The sequence below is a fragment of the Homo sapiens genome, chromosome 15, assembly GCF_000001405.40.
Source record: "Homo sapiens chromosome 15, GRCh38.p14 Primary Assembly".
Lineage (NCBI taxonomy): Eukaryota > Metazoa > Chordata > Mammalia > Primates > Hominidae > Homo > Homo sapiens.
In genome coordinates, this window is record NC_000015.10 from 65,420,216 (window position 1) to 65,433,379 (window position 13,164).

At 50.6% G+C, this 13,164-nt stretch overlaps 1 protein-coding gene across 7 annotated transcripts in view, besides 3 other annotated features; it reads right to left on the reverse strand.

The window, feature by feature from the left end:
* The window catches only part of IGDCC4 (immunoglobulin superfamily DCC subclass member 4), a 41,464-nt gene extending 38,732 nt beyond the window's left edge, over positions 1–2,732 (reverse strand). For 3 of the 7 annotated variants that reach the window (NM_020962.3, XM_011521846.4, XM_047432908.1), the window contains exon 1: positions 2,578–2,732. In NM_020962.3, the coding sequence (NP_066013.1) occupies positions 2,578–2,647 (70 nt within the window). In that variant the 5' untranslated portion in view covers positions 2,648–2,732. Of the gene's footprint in view, positions 1–1,730; positions 2,188–2,577 lie in introns of those variants that run through there. The other 4 variants (XM_047432907.1, XM_017022448.3, XM_011521845.4 and 1 more) reach the window with 4 other exon arrangements.
* Positions 1,635–1,744: an enhancer, noted in NCBI's record as "active region_9599". NCBI's record gives its function as "activates an Ori minimal core promoter by ATAC-STARR-seq in GM12878 lymphoblastoid cells {active_cell/tissue: GM12878}" and the evidence as "EXISTENCE:reporter gene assay evidence [ECO:0000049][PMID:35858748]".
* Positions 1,765–2,034: an enhancer, noted in NCBI's record as "active region_9600". NCBI's record gives its function as "activates an Ori minimal core promoter by ATAC-STARR-seq in GM12878 lymphoblastoid cells {active_cell/tissue: GM12878}" and the evidence as "EXISTENCE:reporter gene assay evidence [ECO:0000049][PMID:35858748]".
* Positions 3,010–3,544: an enhancer, noted in NCBI's record as "OCT4-NANOG hESC enhancer chr15:65715563-65716097 (GRCh37/hg19 assembly coordinates)". NCBI's record gives its function as "activates a minimal SCP1, AML or CMV promoter by ChIP-STARR-seq in naive H9 embryonic stem cells {active_cell/tissue: H9 hESC(naive)}" and the evidence as "EXISTENCE:reporter gene assay evidence [ECO:0000049][PMID:30033119]".

Genomic DNA, 13,164 nt, shown 5'->3' on the forward strand with positions numbered 1-13,164 from the left:
GGATTACAGGCGTGAGCCACCGCACCCGGCCTATTTCTTACTTTCCTCTCTCTCGCCCCCTACAAATTCAATCTATCCTCAAGTTCTACTGATTCTATTTCCTGAAAATCTCTGGAATGCAGCCACTCCAGCCCAACCCCAACTGCCACTATGCTAGCTGCCACCATCCTCTCTTCTGGATTGCTACAACAGCCTCGAAGGAGCTGGAGCTTCCTGCCTCCAGCCCCACCCAATCCATCCTCCACACTGGCTGGAATGAGATGATGCAAAGCTGATTTTAAATCCTGTCAAGGGCTCATGGGGACTCTCAGGCCAGAAACCTTGGTGGGCCCTGTAAAGCCCTTTGTGAGCTGGATCTAGCTCCCCTCTTCAGCCTCCTGTCTTGATACTCCCTGACCCCTTTCCATGCTTCCCTCACCTGCCCCCCATCCACCCCTTGTCCCTAAACTCCAGCTAGATTTAGTTTAATCCAATGATCTCAACTAAATCACCTCTGAACTTTGCACATGCTGTTCTCTGGAAAACTGTCCCCATCATCATTCTCCTTCTACAGGGCTAACTCCATGTCGAGCTCTACTACTCATCACTTTCTTCAGGAAGCTTTTGCTGACCTTCCCAGATCGGTGTAGGAGCCCCTCCTTCCTGCGTCTTCCCCAGCACTTCAGGGGACTTGTCAGTTTCCCCCTCCACCAGACTGAAAGCTTTGCACCAGGGATCAGGTCTGCCTCCTTATTTACTATATTCTAGGCACTAGGCACAAGCTAGCCTATAAAAGGTGCTCCATAAATATTTGTTGAACGAATGAATGACCTCAGTACAGATCAGGGTGGCTAGTCATGACTCGACTGGAGTGTCCCCCGGCCTGCTGAGATTTGGAGGACCAGGGCAAGCTGTTGTAGCCACTCACACTGCAACCAAGAGACGCCGCAACTCGGTCCCTCGCCTGCTTTGTGCGTTCGGGAGCAGGGAGAGGCCAGGGAAGCTGGGTCCCTCGCGGCAGGTCCTAAAGGTATTGAATAATGCGCCGGTGCGGTTCCCAGCCCTGATGCCGTTTAGCTGGGTGACCCTGAGCTCGTTCCAGGAGCCCTAGGAATAGCGGAAGGTGGGGCAGGGGAACTATTCCTTAATCCCCTGAGCTCTGGGAAGACAGACCTCTCTCTGACACTTCCCCGCCCCTTTCACCTGACAAGCCAGGGCCTCCAGCTCCTCTGGCCCAGCAGCCGAGACCCAGCCTCGCGGCGGCCTCCAGCTTAATCCGCTGTTGGGGCTGGAAAGGGGCGTGTCTTTGTAGGGACAGAAGGGGTCCGAGGAGTTCCCGGCACTTTCCCACCCGCTGTTTGGTTTTCCTGGAGATGGGCCTGGGGCTGGCCAGGCGGAGGCTCCTTCCCCCCGCCTCCCTCCCACGTGGCCTGGCTGAGTCTCTCTGGAAAGCCGCAGCAGCTGGAGAGAAATCCCCCTCCCCACCCCCACCTCCAAGTCCCTCCCCGACTCTCCCCGGACACATCCTCAGCTCCCCCCTCCGCGGGGAAGGCAAGAACTAGGCGAACAAAGCGGCCAGCCCATCCCCCTCCCAGCCCTGCCACCTACACTCCCCATGAGCCGCCCCCAAACGCACACCGGACAGGAAGCGACAGAGCTGTGGGTGGAAGCCGCAGCCCTAGACACACACCCTTGGGGACTTCGCTATCCCCTCCCCAGCCCTTTCTCCAGCTTGGACAACTCTGACTTACCCCGTACCCACTCCGCACTGGGCTGCGGACTGGATGAGGCCCTGCTGACCTCGTCCACGCTTCCCTGGTCGGTCCCTGGGGGGTGGGGCCGGGGTGACACGCGTCCCATCGTGAGAACAAGCGCTGGACATGTCCACGAAAGCAAATGGTTTCCTGCCCCCTCCCCCAGTCCACTGCTGGCCACAGGTTTTGGGGAGCAACACCTCCCTCTACCCCTCTCTAACCGGCCCCAGGGACCACACCCACTGGGCAAAGTTGAGTGTTGTTTTATCACCACCACCCCCAGTCAAACGGGATCCATCGCTCTGTCCCCCACTATGGGCAAGGACACTTCCCAAATGCCAAGGCCAAATATTAGCTCAGCCCCATAAACACAATTGCACACGCACCCGACCCAAATGGAGGTGCAGACACAACCCCAGTTCCCTCCTCTTTTACACACACTCTCAACCCAAGACACGCGCAGGCAAGGCAGAGCCCGCCCCGCGAAAGCCACCGACACCGCAGCTACCCGCCCCGCCGATGCCACGCCGCGACCATGGCACGCACTGCGGACACGACAGGAGCACTCCCAACACACACACACACACACACACACACACACACACACACGACTCCAGACTCTGCGAACCAAAGGCACACACCCACTGCGGACAAGCACGCCCCACAAACGCCCCCCGGCCGCAGCTCGCAGACCCCCGCGCAGGCATCGCGGGCACCTGGACGCGCAGCCCCCGCACTTGCTCGGGACTCCGGCTTGAGCCAGCCCCGCAGCCCGATGCAGACCAGGGCGCGGGCGCACCAGCACTCCGCAGTCGCTCCTGCCTCTCCGGGCGCCCGCCCTTACCGCGCGCGGCCAACAGGCAGAAGGTCAACGCGAGGAGCCCGCGGCCGCGGCCGGCGTCCCCCCGCGCCATGGGGCTGGGCTCGGGCCGCCGCCGCCGCCGCCGCCTCCCCGTGCTTCGGCCGCCGCCGCGGGGGGAGAGCGCGCCGGGCGTCAGTGGCCCGGGGAGGCGCGGCGCCGCGGGCGGGGGCGCGGCCTCGGGGGCCCGGGCCCGAGCTGGGGCCGGCGCGGGGGCCAGGGCCGCTGCCGCCTCACCCGCCCCTCCATCGCCATCTTGGGCGAGCGGCCCGGGAGGGGGCGCCCGGCGAGTGTGGCCACCCTGGCCCCGCCGGGGACCCTGCGCCCGCGCGCCACGGCCCTGCGCCTCGCGGGGGCTCCTCTCGGCCCGGGTCTGTGTCCCGGTGCCTCGCCCTCTCCGGGTCGCCGCGGGCCCCCGTGAGGCCGCCTGTTGCTGGGTCTGTCTCTTAGTCTCCCCGTCTCTGAGTCTTCTGGTCTCTCTGCCTCAGCGTCTCTATTTCTTCTCCCTGTTGCTGCCTCGGGGTCTCCACCTCCGTTCCAGGCTCAGGGGAGGCAGATTCAGGGCCACGGTCTTTGTCCAGATGGCCCCCTTGCCACCCGAGCCCAGTCCATTCCAGCCCAGGTCCTGGCCTGAATGCTGGTTCGCTTCTCCACACGTTGCGCCAGCCCACCTGCGGAGATCTTGATAGTCCTATCTGCCATCCCAAACCAAGGGCTTCTCTTGGCCTCCTTCCCTTGCTCTGGCAGTAACTAACACAGGCAGGACACTTTTACACTACCTTCAAGCACTACCATATTCAGATGTCGCCGCATGGGGAAACTGAGGCTGGAGAAGGTGAAGTGACTTGCCCAAGGACAGGAGGCTAGGGAGCAGCAGATACAGGACCTGAACCTTGGTTTTCTGACTTCGGAAGGTCATCTCCACTCCCTCACCCTGCCTCTGCTGTCCAGCATTTACTGAAGTACCCTTTTTCTCATTCTTCAACGGTACTTTCTCTAACCTACCTAGCCAGACTGTTTGCCTCAGTATCCCGCAAATATTTCTTGTTCTACAGCCAAGGGTTCAATTGTCAGGCTAGGGTGGGGAAAAGAGTACAGATTCAATGACCTAGTTAAGGTCCTTTCCAACTCCAAGATGCCATAGTTCTTCCCTTCCCTGTGTCTCTAAGTGTTCCTGTGACTTAGAGCCATCTTGTCTCTACACCTGTCTGTTGTCAGTTAACCCTCAATAATCACTGGCGCTTTGCATATCTAACAGGCCTGGCGTTTATTCATTCATTGCCACGCCCCATCTTCACTTGCCCTATCAGCAGCATTTGACTTAGTGAATCACTCCCTCTTCCTTGAAACACTTGCTTCCCTTAGTGATCTCATCTGGTCCTCAAGGCTTTAAAGAGCATCTTTATGCTAATGATGCCCAAATGTATACTTTCAGCCTAGACCATCTTTCCTGAACCCTGGACTTCTGTATCCAGCCATCCAGGCCCCAGTTCCTTTAGCTGTCTAGTAGACAAACTCATCCTGATCTTTTCTATCAATCTTTCTCCTCCCACAGTCTTCCTCATCTCAGTTCCTTTCCTGTTGCCCAGGTCAAAAATGTAGAGGCCAGGCTTGGTGGCTTACGCCTGTAATCCCAGCACTTTGGGAGGCCGAGGTGGGAGGATCGCTTGAGGCCAGGAGTTCAAGACCAACCTGGCCAGCATAGCGAGACCCCCATTTCTATTAAAAAAAAATGTAGAGTCATCTCCTACTCTTCATGTTCAGATGCTTCACCCTCCACTTTCTCACTGTGGCCTTGGTCCAAGACCCGTCGCCTCTCACCTGGATTGTCACAGCAAACTCCTCACTGATCTTTTTCTGTCCTTGTCCTCCTTGAGTGTTTTCTCAATACAGCAGCCAGAGTGCTCCTGTTAAAATGAGATCATGCCACTTCTCTGCTAGAAACCCACCAGCGGCTCCTATGTCAGAGCAAAAGCCAAAGTCCTTATTGTGACCCACAAGGCCTATCTGATCTGTAGGCTTGCTCTACCTCTCTGACCTCCCCTTCGACACCACCCCCTGTGCTCACCACCTCTCCAGCCACACCATCCTCCTTGCTGTAACTTGATCGCGGGCAGCCTCCTCCCCTCCAGCCTCAAGACCTTTGTCCGGCCAGTGCAAGTCTAGAGATCTGTTCCCTCATACTGGATACCATAAAGGCTTTCTCACAGCCTCACCCCCTACTCTTCCTATCCTCCTTCCCTGCTGTCTATTCTTGTCTTTAACTGTCACTTTCTTTTTTATTTTATTTTCTTTCTTTTTCTCTTCTTTTTTTTTTTTTTTTGAGACAGAGTCTTACTCTGTCCCCCAGGCTGGAGGGCAGTGGCTCACTGCAACCTCCGCCTCCTGGGTTCAAGTGATTCTTGGGTCTCAGCCTCTCAAGTAGCTAGGACTACATGCCCAGCTAACTTTTTGTACTTTTAATAGAGACGGGGTTTCATCATTTGGTCAGGCTGGTCTCGAACTCCTGACCTCAAGTGATCCACCTGCCTTGGATCCCAAAGTGTTGGGATTACAGGCGTGAGCCAGCACGCCTGGCCAACACTTGTCACTTTCTTTTTTTCTTTCTTTTTTTTTTTGAGATAGAGTCTTGCTCTGTCGCCCAGGCTGGAGTGCAGTGACACGATCTCAGCGCAGTGCAACCTCCGCCTCCTGGTTTCAAGAGATTCTCCTGCCTCAGCCTCCCGAGTAGCTGTGACTACAGGTGCCTGCCACCATGCCCGACTAATTTTTTGTATTTTTAGTAGAGACGGGGTTTCACCATGTTGGCCAAGCTAGTCTTGAACTCCTGACCTCAGGTGATCCACCTGCCTCGGCCTTCCAAAGTGCTGGGATTACAGGCATGAGCCACTGCGCCCGGCCAACACTTGTAACTTACTAATATGCTCTACATTTTACTTATTTTCGATCTGTTCCCCCACCCCTCACAATCACAATGTGTGCTTCATGAGGACAGGGATTTTTGTTTGCTAGGTTCACTGCTGAATGCTAAGCACCTAAATCAGTATCTCACACTGTGTAGGTGCCAGGGGACCTGGATAAAAAATACAAGTCCCTGCCCACAAGGATAGTAGTGTCCTAAGTGGCATGGGGTGGCAGGGAGGATGGAACAAAAGGAGGAGGGATTTACCGTGTGTGGGGTGGGGGGACATGGAGGTTGAGAAGGAAGGCTTCACAGAACTATTGATTGGACAAGTGTGATACGGTCTGTGATGGGGTACAGGGAGGAGGAGCACTCGGGCCAGACCTGTGGATGTTTGACATGGGTCTGGACAATTTAAAAGGCTAGAACTGACAGGGTGGTCAAGAAACTCCCTCTGCAGAGGCCCTGGGCTGTGAGAGCACAGGGAAGTGTGCTCTTCCTGCCTGGAAATGGCATATCCAATCATTGATTCAAGGGGTACCTGTTATGGGTCAGGCCCTGCTCTGGGCACTGGGAGCAGACTGGCGAACAAGAGGAATCTTGCCTGAATGGTGCTTAGGCTACTGAGGGAGATGGACAAGTGTGATACAGTCTGTGATGGGGTACAGGGAAGAGGGGCACTCGGGCCAGACCTGGGGGAAGCAGAGAAGTCTTACAGGAAAGACAATGTAAGCAGAGTGCAGGAGGTGTGGACTGGGCAGGGGAGCAGGGGCAGGACATGAAGCCAAACAGGGAGGCCAGGGCCAGATGGACTGGCCTCATATGTTATCTAGAAAGCAATTGATTTGTCAATTGAATGAATGAACAAGGTGTTGCCATATAGAGAGACTAATTCTACCAGCCACATACAAAAATCTAATTAATTTATCTATATTCATATCTCACTACATGGGCTCTGGGTAGGGAGTAAATGTGAGAGGAGGAGGGATAGAGTTACAGGTTCAGGCCAGCCAAGCCCAGCAGGAGTAAGAACCATAGTTCTTGTCCTGCCTTGGTTACAGACTTGCTGCATGACCTTGGGCAACTTCCATCCTCTCTCTGGGCCTCAGTTTCATCACTGAGACAAAAGGGTTGGGGTATGATGCACATTTCTAACCAGTTCCAAAGAGTTCACAACATTAAAAGTGGATATAGCACCTGTTTTAATGTGTTTTTAAAAATCAATCAGGCTGGGCATGGTGGCTGGCACATGCCTGTAATCCCAGCACTTTGGAAGGCTGAGGCGAGCGGATCACCTGAGGTCAGGAGTTCGACACCAGCCTGACCAATATGATGAAACCCCGTCTCTACTAAAAATACAAAAATTAGCCAGGCGTGGTGGCACATGCCTGTAATCCCAGCTACTCGGGAGGCTGAGACAGGAGAATCGCTTGAACCCGGGAGGCAGAGGTTGCAGTGAGCCAAGATGGCACTATTGCACTCCAGCCTGGGTAACAAGAGCTAAACTCTGTCTCAAAAAAAAAAAATCAATAATAAAATATTCTATTATTTTCCTCTTTCAGCTGGTAACATGGAAAGCTTCCAAGGGTGTATGGGGTGTTCCAGGGTGGTGGTTAGTGGAGGGTCGAGGAACATGCTCAGATAAACATGGTTCACTGTCATGGTTTTTATCATTAAACAGCTTTAACTTATTTTCATACTTGGTCATTTATACACTGTTTAATTTATAGCCATGTGGGACCATAAAAAATATATGACAGGCCGGGTATGGTGGCTCACGCCTGTAATCCCAGCCCTTTGGGAGGCCAAGGCAGGCAGATCTCTTGAAATCAGGAGTTCAAGACCAGCTTGGGCAAAATGGTGAAACCCCGTCTCTACAAAAATACAAAAAAATTAGCTGGGTGTGGTGGTGTGTGCCTGTAGTCCCAGCTACTTGGGAGGCTGAGGTGGGAGGATTGCTTGAGCCTGGGAGGCAGAGGTTGCAATGAGTCAAGATTTCACTACTGCACTCCAGCCTGGGTAACAGAATGAGACCCTGTCTCAGAAAAAATAAACAAACAAATAAAACAAAACTCAGTCACTGACAGGTCAAAAACCAAATTTATTTTTCGTTAGTTTGTTTGAGACAGGGTCTTGCTCTGTTTCCCAGACTGAAGTGTAGTGGCATGATCACAGCTCACCGCAGCCTCAACCTCCTGGGCTCCAGCAATCCTCCCACCTCAGCAGCCCCCAAGCAGTGGTAGGTGCTACCACACCTGGCTAATTTTGATATTTTTTTGTAGAGGTGGGGTTTCGTCAGATTGTCCAGGCTGGTCCCAAACTCCTGAGCTCAGCAGCAGTCTGCCTGCCTCAGCCTCCCAAAGTGCTAGGATTACAGGAGTGTGCCACTGTACCTGGCCTAAAAAACGATGTTTAAAAAAAAACAAAATCTAAGGACAACTGAATCTAATTTGGCTTGTTGTTTACTGGAAAGACAAATCATCCATATCCACAATATATTTTTTTTGTGGGGAATACTTCCCAATAAATCCTAAAATCTTTTATTTCACATCTCAGAAATAAAACTCAGAAAATTTAAAATATTTAGCACAAAAGGCAACCATATTATAAAAGCAATTTTTGTCTGTTTTTGATCCTATAACACACTATTATTAATTTGTTTTTCTTTTTCTTTTCCTTTTTTTTTTTTTTTTTTTTTTGAGATGGAGTCTTGCTCTGTTGCCCAGGCTGGAGTGCACTGGAGTGATCTGGGCTCACCACAACCTCCGCCTCCCAGGTTCAAGTGATTCTCTTGCCTCAGCCTCCCAAGTAGCTTGGACTACAGGTGCATGCCATCACGCCCGGCTAATTTTTGTATTTTTAGTAGAGATGGGGTTTCACTACATTGGCCAGGCTGGTCTCGAACTCCTGACCTTGTGATTCGCCCACCTCAGCCTCCCAAAGTGCTGGGATTACAGGCGAGAGCCATGGCACCTGGCCCACACTATTATATTTCGTTGTATATTTGGTCCTCAAACCACAAATATATATATAAATTATATATATATTTATTTGTTTTTTGACAAATGATGCTTTCTTTTTCTTTTTCTTTTTCTTTTTCTTCTCTTCCTTTCTTTTTTGAGACAGGGTCTTGCTCTGTTGCCCAGGCTGGAGTGCAATGGCGCGATCTTGGTTCACTGCAGCCTCAACCTCCCAGGCTTAGGTGATCCTCCCGTCTCAGCCTCCCTAGTAGCTGGAACCACAGGCATGCACCCAGCTAACTTTTGAATTTTTTGTAGAGGCAGGGTCTCACTATGTTGCCTAAGCTTGTCTTGAACTCCTGGGCTCAAAGCGATCTGCCCGCTTTGGCCTCCCAAAGTGCTGGGATTACAGGCATGAACCACTGTGCGTGGCCCCTAATTACTTTAAAATAGGCATGCATCATTTATTAAATGAGGAACAGGGTTTTTAAAATAATCAATTTAATTTAAATATATTAAAATTACCTTGAATTAACATGTTGTTTTTTTTTTGTTTTGTTTTGTTTTTTTTTTTTTTTTTGAGACGGAGTCTCGCTCTGTCGCCCAGGCCGGACTGCGGACTGCAGTGGCGCAATCTCGGCTCACTGCAAGCTCCGCTTCCCGGGTTCACGCCATTCTCCTGCCTCAGCCTCCCGAGTAGCTGGGATTACAGGCGCCCGCCACCGCGCCCGGCTAATTTTTTGTATTTTTAGTAGAGACGGGGTTTCACCTTGTTAGCCAGGATGGTCTCGATCTCCTGACCTCATGATCCACCCGCCTCGGCCTCCCAAAGTGCTGGGATTACAGGCGTGAGCCACCGCGCCCGGCCTAACATGTTGTTTTAAAGTTATTTTTTTTCTTAACTTCCCTGAGACAGTTCTAGGACAGAAGTGACATCTTGGGAACAGGTCAATGTAGTGGTTAAGAGAATGGGACAGGGCTAGAATTCTTGTAGGTTTGACTAGGTGGATGGGATACTACTAAATGAAGGGAACATGGGGGAGGAGCAGAACCGAGGAGAGAGAAGTGAATTGGCCTTTTAAACAAGTTGAGTGTGAGGGCCCTGTATGGCATCAAGTGACAGCATTAAAGTGCTAGAAATGCTGTTTCTTTTTTGTTTTTCTCGTTTCATTTCGTTTCTTTTTTTTTTTTTTTTTTTTTTTTTTTTGAGACGGAGTCTCGTTCTGTCGCCCAGGCGGGAGTGCTGTGGCTCGATCTCCGCTCACTGCAAGCTCCGCCTTCCGGGTTCAAGCCATTCTCCTGCCTCAGCCTCCCAAGTAGCAGGGACTACAGGCGCCCGCCACTGCGCCTGGCTAATTTTTTGTATTTTTAGTAGAGACGGGGTTTCACCGTGGTCTCGATCTCGTGACCTCGTGATCCGCCCGCCTCGGCCTCCCAAAGTGCTGGGATTACAGGCGTGAGCCACCGCGCCCGGCCCGTTTATTTTCTTTTTGTTTTTTGTCTCTCTTTTTTTTTTGAGACAGAGTCTTGCTCTGTCACGCAGGCTGGAGTGCAGTGGCTCACTGCAACCTCTGCCTCCCGGGTTCAAGCGATTCTCGCTCGTGTTTCAGCCTCCCAAGTAGCTGGGACTACAAGCGCCTGCCACCATGCCTGATTAATTTTTGTATTCACCAGGCTGGAGTGCAGTGGCGCGATCTCAGCTCACTGCAACCTCTGCTTCCCGGGTTCAAGCGATTCTCCTGCCTCACCCTCACAAGTAGCTGGGAGGCTACCATACCTGGCTAATTTTTGTATTTTTAGTAGAGACGAGGTTTTACCATGTTGGCCAAGCTGGTCTCAAACTCCTGACCTCAAGTGATCCACCCCCCTCGGCCTCCCAAAGTGCTGGGATTACAGGCATGAGCCACCGTGCCTGGCCAATTTTTGTATTCTTTAGTAGAGATGGGGTTCTGCCATGTTGGCCAGGGAACTCCTGACCTCAAGGTGATCTGCCTGCCTAGGCTTTCCAAAGTGGCTGGGATTACAGGTGTGAGCCAAAGGCATGAGCCACAGCGCCTGGCCTGGAAATGCCGTTTCAATCTAAGCAGAGAGATCAGAACCAGACAAAGTATTCTGTGAGCTGGTACTTCTCCTATCAGAGCACTGAGGACACTTTATTATCATCCTTTGTTAAATTGTCTGGCTCCACTGCTAGACAGTAAGCTCATTGTGGTGGGAACCATGTGTCCTCCCATCTCCCTGGCATCTAGCACAGTGCACAGAAGATAGTAAAATCCCAGTGAATGTTTTCTGAATGAATGGTTTTTAAAAGTTAATTCTTTATTATAAACCATGCAAAAATGATGAAAATTTCATTTATTTTATTATTTGACTTTTTTGGAGAGACAGTCTCCCTTTGCTGCCCAAGCTGGGTTTAAACTCCTGGCTCCAAGTGATCTTCCCACCTCGAACGTCCCAAAATGCTAGGATTACAGGCTTGAGATGCCTGGGCCAAAAATGATGAAAGTTCTAAATCTCTAAGCAGGGGACAAGATAGCACATTATTGTGAATGGAGTTTGAGCATCAAAAAAACATTGGGAAGCACTTACCTGAGTAATCTCTAAAATGTCTGTTGGCTCTCTGACTCTAGATCAAGAATTTATGGATGACCTGCTCTGTAGACCAGCAGTGGGGGTCCATGGTACTCACATCATTCTAGACTAGATAACCGAAGCCACCACCGTGGTGGTTTTAGAGTATGTCTACAAGTTATTTGACATTCTTCCCTTTAAGAAGTAGAGGCCAGGCGTGGTGGCTGTCACCTGTAATCCCAACACTTTGGGAGGCCAAGGTGGGTGGATCACCCGAGGTCAGGAGTTTGAGACCAGCTTGGCCAACATGGTGAAACTCCATCTCTACTAAAAATACAAAAATTGGCCGGGTGTGGTGGTGTGTGCCTGTGATCCCAACTACTCAGGAGGCTGGGGCCGGAGAATTGCTTCAACCCAGGCTTCAGTGAGCCAAGATCACACTACTGCACTCCAGCCCAGACAACACAGTAAGACTCGATCTCAAAAAAAAAAACAAAAACACCAGAATGTGGCAGAGGTGATACTGCCTGGTTTCTGAGGTCTGTCACAGAAGGGGATACTACTCCTGCACTGCTTTCTCTTAGGGAACATGCACCTTTGGAGCCCAGGGCCACCATGTAAGAAGTCTAGCCACTTTGAAGCCCTCCATCATGGAGACCCCATGGAGGCAGAGGGGCTGGAGGGGCCCCAGCTGTTCTGGCCCCCAGCTGTTTGACTCCTTCCAGCCCAGTAACCACATGTGTAAGTGAGGAAGCCTTCCCAACTGCTCTAGCCCAGCCATTGACTGCAACCACATAGGAGACCCTGAGCCCAGCCAACCCCCAGGACTGTGAGAGATAGTAATACAAATGACTGTTGTTGTTTTAGAGCACTCAGCTTGGGGTGGTTTGATATATGGTAACAAACCTGATAACCAGTAGAGCTGCTGGAATCTTTACTGGGTTGAGTTCACTATTAGAACCACTCATTGCCTCCCCCATTTATCCCCTTTTAAGGAAGATACAAAAGACAGGTATGTTTCTAATATCTTCACCCTTCATATTCAAAATTATCACCCTCATTGCTCCCCTGCTTAAACCCTCTGAGTCAGCAGGATGGGTCTCATTTCACCCTGAGTTGCCTTTCCACACCTTTCTCATCAAGTCTCTAATCAATTTGTGGAATTACGGGATATTTTTATTTTCTTCTTTGTGCTTTTCTATGTTCTTTGCAAACTATCCACATTGAACACTTATTTTTGTAAGGAGAAAGAGTAAATGTAACATAGAGAGGAAAAAAATACCTATAATCTTCAGTTTGGGATGATGAAAATATTCTGGAGGTAAATAATAGTGATGGCCACACAATGATGTGAATGTACTTAATGTCACGGAACTGTACACTTAAAAATGGCTAAAATGGGCCGGGCACAAGGGCTTACACCTATAATCCCAGCATGTTGGGAGGCCAAGGAAGGCAGATCTCTTGAGCTCAGGAGTTCAAGACTAGCCTCTGTGACATGGCGGAAACTCATCTCTACAAAAAAATACAAAAGTTAGCCAGGCTTGGTGGCGCGTGCCTGTAGTCCCATCTACTTGGGAGGCTGAGTTGGGAGGATCTCTTGAGCCTGGGAAATGGAGGTTGCGGTGAGCCGAGGTCTTACCACTGCACTCCAGCCTGGGTGACAGAGCGAGACCCTGTCTTAAACAAACAAAAAAAGTAGATAAAATGGTAAATTTTATGTTATGTATATTTTATCATAATAAAAAACATAGACTCCCTTAAAACTCAACTCGAGTCCACACTGACCTGTCTGTCCCACTCAACAGGTACTAACTAGATTATTTCTCATATGGTGACTTCTTTATGTTTATATTTCTCAGATGACACTGGAAGTTACTTGAGGACAGAAACTAGCACTGTGCAGGTGGCCATGCCTACAGTACATTCACACACCAATTGCCTGGAAATCCAAACACATTTCTCTAAAGAATCAGCACAGCAAATGATAGCTTCATCTCAGACTAGCAAATCAAAACCAATTTAACTCATTAAATATTTGAAATGTTGTATATATTGCAGGGAAACACTGGAAATACTAGCAATTAAGCAAAATAGATAAATCAATGGAAAGTTTGAGGAGTTTGGGGTCTAATTAGT